We start from the raw sequence: 7,192 nt of genomic DNA, 5'->3' as shown, positions 1-7,192 counted from the left end.
AGTGGATATTTGGAGTGCTTTGAGGCCTATTGTGGAAAAGGTAATATCTTCACATAAAAACTACAAATAAGCATTCTGAGAAACTTCTTTGTGATGTGTGAATTCAAGTCACAGAGTTTAACCTATCTTTTGATTGAGCAGTTTTGAATCTCTCTTTTTGTAGAATCTGCAAGTGGATATTTGGTGGGCTTTGAGGCCTATTTTGGAAAAGGAAACATCTTCACATAAAAACTACACAGAGGCATTCTGAGAAACTTCTTCATGATGTGTGCATTCATCTCACAGAGTTGAACCTATCTTATGATTGAGCAGATTTGAAACACTGGCTTTGTAGATGCTGCAAGTGGATATTTGGAGCGCTTGAGGCCTACTGTGGAAAAGGAAATATTTTCACATAAAAACCACACAGAAAAATTCTGACAAATTTCTTGGTGATGTGTGCATTCATCTCACAGAGTTGAAACTTTCCTTGTTATGAGCAGTTTTGCCACACTCTTTTGGAGAATTTAGAAGTGGATATTTGGAGCACTTTGAGGTCTATTGTGGAAAAAGAAATATCTTCACATAAACACTACAAAGAAGCATTCTGAGAAACTACTTTGTGATGTGTGTGTTAAACTCACAGAGGTGAACTTATCTTTTGATTGAGCAGATTTGAATATCTCTTTTTGTAGGAGCTGCAAGTGGGTATTTGGAGCCCTTTGAGGCCTATTGTGGAAAAGAAAATATCTTCACATAAAAACAACACAGATTCTTTCTGAGAAACTTCTTTGAAATGTATGCATTCATCTCACAGAGTTCAATTTTCTTTTGATTGAACAATTTTGAAACACTATTTTTGTAGAATCTGCAAGTAGATATTTGGAGTGCATTGAGGCCTAGGGAGGAAAAGGAAATATCTTCATATAAAAACTACACAGAAGCATTCTGAGAAATGTCTTTTGACGTGTGCATTCATCTCATAGAGCACTTTGAGGCCCATTGTGGAAAAGGAAATATCTTCACATAAAAACTACACAGAAGCATTCTGAGAAACTTGTTTGTGATGAGTGCATTCAGCTCACAGAGTTGAACCTATCTTTTGATTGAGCAATTTTGAAACTCTCTTTTTGTAGAATCTGCAAGTGGATATTTGGAGGCCTTTGCGGCCTATGGTGGAAAAGGAAATATCTTCACATAAAAACTACACAGAAGCATTCTGAGAAATGTCTTTTGACGTGTGCATTCATCTCATAGAGCACTTTGAGGCCCATTGTGGAAAAGGAAATATCTTCACATAAAAACTACACAGAAGCATTCTGAGAAAGTTCTGTGTGACTTGTGCATTCATCTCACAGAGTCGTAAATTTCTTTTGATTGAACAGTTGGAAACACTCTTTTAGTAAAATCTACAAGTGGATACTTGGAGCGTTTTGAGGCCTATTGTAGAAATGGAAATATCTTCACATAAAAACTAAACAGAAGCATTCTGAGAAACTTCTTTGAGATGTGTACATTGAACTCAGCGTTGTATCTATCTTTTGATAGAGGAGTTCTGAAACTCTCTTTATGTAGAATCTGCAAGGAATATTTGGAGCCCTTTGTGACCTATGGTGTAAAAGGAAATACCTTCACATAAAAACTACACAGAAGCATTCTGAGAAACTTCTTTGTGATATGTGCATTCTTCTCAAAGAGAAGAAACTTTAATTCGATTGAACAGTTTTGAAACACTCTTTTTGTAGAATCTGCAAGTGGATATTTGGAACACTTTGGAGAGAATGGTGGAAATGGAAATATCTTCATATAAAAACTATGGAGAAGCATTGTGAGAAACGTCTTTGTGATGTGTGCATTCAACTCACAGAGTTGAAGCTTTCTTTTGATTGAGCAGTTTTGAATCCCTCTTTTTGTAGAATCTGCAAGTGGATATTTGGAGCACTTTGGGGCCTCTGGTGAAATGAAATATCTTCACATAAAAACTATACAAAAGCACTCTGAAAAACTTCTTTGTGATGTGTGCATACAACTCACAGAGTTGAACCATTCTTTTGATTGTGCAGTTTTGAAACACTCTTTTTGTAGATTCTGCAAGTAGATACTCAGAGGGCTTTGTGGAGTATTGTGGAAAAGGAAATAACTTTGCATAAAAGCTAGACAGACGCATTCTGAGAAACTTCTTTGTGATGTGTGCTTTCAGCTCACAGAGTTGAACCTTTCTTTTGATTGAGCAGTTTAGAAACACTCTTTTTGTAGAATCTGCAAGTGGATATTTAGAGTGCTTTGATGACTATGGTGGAAAAGCAAATATCTTCACGTAACAACTAGACAGAAGCATTCTGAGAATCTTCTTTGTGATGTGTTCATTCACATCACAGAGTTTTAACTTTTTTTATTGAGGACTTTTGAAACACTCTTTTTGTAGAATCTGCAAGCGGGTGTTTGGAACATTTTGTGGCCTATAGTGGAAAAGGATGTATATTCACATAAAAACTAGACAGAAGCATTCTGAAAAACTACTTTTTGATGTGTGCATTCATCTCAAAGAGTTCAATCTTTCTTTTGATTGAGCAGTTTTGAAACACTCTTTTTGGAGTATCTGTAAGTGGATATTTGGAGCGCTTTGAGGCCTATGGTGGTAAAGGAAATATCTTCACATAAAAACTACACAGAAGCATTCTGAGATACTTCTTTATGATGTTTGCATTCATCTCACATAGTTGGACCATTCTTTTGATTGAGCAGCTTTGAAACACTCTCTTTGTAGAATGTGCAAGTGGATATTTGGAACACTTTGATGAGCATGGTGGAAAAGGAAATATCTTCACATAAAAACTAGACAGAAGTACTCTGAGAAACTTCTTTGTGATGTGCGCATTCATCTCAGATTTGAAAATTTCTTTTGATTGAGCAGTTTTGAATCGCTCTTTTTTTAGGATCTGCCAGGGGATATTTGGAGTGCTTTGAGGCCTATGGTGGAGAAGGAAATATCCTCACATAAAAATTAGAGAGAAGGATTCTGAGAAACTTCTTTGTGATGTGTGCATACATCTCACAGAGTTTAAACTTTCTATTGATTTAGCATTTTTTAAACACTTTTTGTAGGATCTGCAGTGGATATTTGGAGCCCTTTGGGGCCTATGGTGGAAAAGAATTATCTTCTCATAAAAACTAGACAGAAGCATTCTGAGAAACTTCTTTGTGATGTGTGCGTTCATCTCACAGATCTGAAACTTTCCTTTGAGCATTTTTGAAACACTCTTTTGGTAGAATCTGCAAGTGCAGATTTAGAGCGCTTTGAGGCTTGTGGTGGAAAAGGAAATATCTTCACATAAACACTAGACAGAAGCATTCTGAGAAACGTCTTTGTGATGTGTCCATTCATCTAACAGAGGTGAAACTTTCTTTTCATTGAACAGTTTTGAAACACTCTTTTTATAGAATCTGCAAGTGGATATTTGGAGCACTTTGGAGAGAATGGTGGAAATGGAAATATCTTCATATAAAAACTATGGAGAAGCATTCTGAGAAACGGCTTTGTTATGTGTGCCTTCAACTCACAGAGTTGAACCTTTCTTTTGATTGACCAGTTTTGAATCCCTCTTTTTGTATAATCTGCAAGTGGATATTTGGAGAGCTTTGGGGCCTATGGTGGAAAAGGAAATATCTCCACATAAAAACTACACAAAAGCATTCTGAGAAACTTCTTTCTGATGTATGCATACAACTCACAGAGTTGAAACTTTCTTTTGATTGTGCATTTTTGAAACACTTCTTTTGTAGAATCTGCAAGTGGATATTCAGAGGGCTTTGTGGAGTATAGTGGAAAAGGAAATAACTTTGGATAAAAGCTAGACAGCAGCATTCTGAGAAACTTCTTTGTGATGTGTGCATTCAACTCACAGAGTTGAACCTTTCTTTTGTTTGAGCAGTTTTGAAACACTATTTTTGTAAAATCTGCAAGTGGATACTTGGCGCGCTTTGCGGCCTATGGTGGAAAAGCAAATATCTTCACATAAAAACTAGAGAGAAGCATTCTGAGAATGTTCTTTGTGATGTGTGCATTCACCTCACAGAGTTGAAACTTTTTTGTTGAGGAGGTTTAAAACACTCTTTTTGTGGAATCCGCAAGTGGGTGTTTGGAGCACTTTGTGGCCTATAGTGGAAAAGGATGTATATTCACATAAAAACTAGACAGAAGCATTCTGAAAAACTACTTTGTGATGTGTGCATTCATCACAAAGAGTTGAACCTTTCTTTTGGTTAAGCAGTTTTGAAGCACTCTTTTTGTAGAATCTGTAAGTGGATATTTGGAGTGCTTTGAGGCTTATGGTGGTAAAGGAAATATCTTCACATAAAAACTACACAGAAGCATTCTGAGAAACTTCTGTGTGATGTGTGCATTCATCTCACAGGGTTGAACCTTACTTTTGTTTGAGCAGTATTCAAACACTGTTTTTGTAGAACCTGCAATTCGATATTTGGAGAGCTTTGAGGCCTATGTTGGTAAAGGAAATATCTTCAATTAAAATCTGGACAGAAGCATTCTGAGAAACTACTTTGTGATATGTGCATTCAACTCACAAAGTTGAACGTATCTTTGAGGAGTTTGGAAACATTCTTTTTGTAGCATCTGCAAATGTATATTTGGAGCGCTTTGAGGCCTATAGTTGAAAAGGAAATATCTTCACATAAAAACCACACAAAAGTATTCTTAGAAACTCCTTTATGATGTGTGCTTTTATCTCACATAATTCAACATTTCCTTTCATTGAGCAGTTTTGGAACACTTTTTTTGTGGAAACCGCAATTGGATATTTGGAATGCTTTGCCTCCTATAGTGGAAAAGGAAATATCTTCACATAAAAACTAGACAGAAGCATTCTGGGAATCTTCTCTGTGACGAGTGCATTCAACTCACTGGGTTGAACCTTTCTTTTGATTAAGTAGTTTCGAAACACTCTTTTTGTAGAATCTGCAGGTAGATATATGGAACACTTTGAGGCCTATGGTGGAAAAGGAAACATCTTCACATAAAAACTACACAGAAGCACTCTGAGAAACTTCTTTATGATGTGTGCAATGATCTCACAGAGTTGAAACTTTGTTTTGTTTGAGCAGTTTTGAAACACCGCTTTTGTAGAATCTGTAAGTGGATATTTGGAGTGCTTTGTTCCCTATTGTAGAGGAAATATCTTCACATAAAACTAGACAGAAGCATTCTGAGAAACTTCTTTGTGATGTGTGCATTCATCTCACACAGTTGAACCTTTCTTTTGATTCATCACTTTTGAAACACTCTTTTTGAAGAATATGCAAGTGGATATTTGAAGCGCATTGTGGCCTATAGTGGAAAATTTTATATCTTCACATAAAAACTAGACAGAAGCATTCTGAGAAACTTCTTTGGGATATATGCATTCATCTCACAGACTTGAAACTATTTTGATTTAGCATTTTAGAAACACCCTTTTGTAAAATCTGCAAGTGGATATTTTGAGCGCTTTGCATCCTCTAGTGGAAAAGGAAATATCTTCACACAGAAAAAAGACAGAAGCATTCTGAGAAACCTGTGTGTGATGTGAGCATTCCTCCCACAGAGTTGAACCTTTCTTTTGATTGAGCAGTTTTGAAACACACTTTTTGTTGAATCTGCAATTGGATATTTGGAGAGCCTTGGGGCCTATGGTGGAAAAGTAAATATCTTCACATAATAACTGCACAGAGGTATTCTAAGAAACTTCCTTCTGATGTGCACATTCAGTTCACTGAATTGTACCTTTCCTTTGATTGAGCAGTTTTGAAACACTCTTTTGCAGAATCTGCAATTGGATATTTGAAGCTCTTTCCAGTCTCAAGTGGAAAAGGAAATATCTTCACATAAAAAATAGACAGAAGCATTCTGCGAAATTTTTGTGATGTGTGCATTCTTCTAACAGAGTTGAACTTTTATTTTGATTGAGCAATTTTGAAACACTCTTTTTGTAGATTCTGCAAGTGGACATTTGGAGCTCTTTCAGTCCTATGGTGGTAAAGGAAATAACTTCACACAAAAACTAGACAGAAGCATTCTGAGAAACTCCTTTGTGATGTGTGCATTCATCTCACAGGTTTGAACCTTTCTTTTGGTTGAGCAGTTTTGAAACACACTTTTTGTAGAATCTGAAGGTGGATATTTGGAACACTTTGGGGCCTATGGTATAAAAGGAAATATCTTCACATAAAAACTAGACAGAGCATTCTGAGAAACAACTTTGTGATGCGTGCTTTCATCTCACAAAGTTGAACGTTTCTTTTGATTGAGTAGTATTGAAACGCACATTTGTAGACTCTACCAGTGGATATTTGGAGTGCTTTGGGGCCTACGGTGGAAAAGGATATATCTTCACATAAAAACTAGACAGAAGCATTCTGAGAAACTTCTTTGTGATGTGTGCATTCAACTAACACTGTTGAACCCTTCTTTTGATTGAGCAATTTTGAATCACTTTTTTTGTAGAATCTGCAAGTGAATATTTGGAGTGCTTTGCAGACTACAGTTTAAAAGGGAATATATTCACCTAAAAACTAGACAGAAGCATTCTGATAAACTTTGTTGTAATGTGTGCATTCAACTAACAGAGTTGAACCTTTCTTTTGATTGAGCAGTCTGGAAACACTCTTTTTGAAGAATCTGTAAGTGGATATTTGGAGCACTTTGCAGCCTATTGTGGAAAAGGATAAATCTTCAAATAAAAACTAGACAGAAGCATTCTGAGAAACGTCTTTGTGAGATGTGCATTCATCTCACAGACTTGAACCTTTCTTTCGATTGAGCAGTTTTGAAACACTCTTTTTGTAGAATCTGCAAGGGATATTTGAAGAGCTTTGAGGCCTAATGTGGAAAAGGAATTATCTTCACATAAAAACTAGACAGAAGCATTCTGAGAATCTTCTTTGTGAAGTGTGCATTCATCTCACAGAGCTGAAACTTTCTTTTGATTCAGCAGTTTTGAAATACTCTATTTATGGAATCTGCTTGTGGATTTTTGGAGCGCTTTGAGGCATGTGGTGGAAAAGGAAATATCTTCACATGAAAACTAGACAGAAGCATTCTGAGAAAATTCTTTGTTATGTGTGCATTCAACTCACGGAGTTGAACCTTTCTTTTGATTGAGCAGTTTGGAAACACTCTTTTTGTAGTATCTGCAAGTGGATATATGGAGCGCTTGTG

At 36.2% G+C, this 7,192-nt stretch overlaps 1 annotated feature.

Moving 5' to 3' along the window:
* Nucleotides 1-7,192: part of a centromere (Linear centromere model derived predominantly from reads generated in PMID: 17803354. This region does not represent an actual centromere sequence, as long-range ordering of repeats and unmapped WGS contigs is not provided by the model. For details of model production, see http://arxiv.org/abs/1307.0035.) that runs on past both edges of the window.

This window comes from Homo sapiens, chromosome 14, assembly GCF_000001405.40.
Source record: "Homo sapiens chromosome 14, GRCh38.p14 Primary Assembly".
In the NCBI taxonomy this organism is placed as follows: domain Eukaryota; kingdom Metazoa; phylum Chordata; class Mammalia; order Primates; family Hominidae; genus Homo; species Homo sapiens.
Note: the sequence above shows the minus strand (reverse complement) of the source record. Positions and strands in the feature narration are given on the sequence as shown.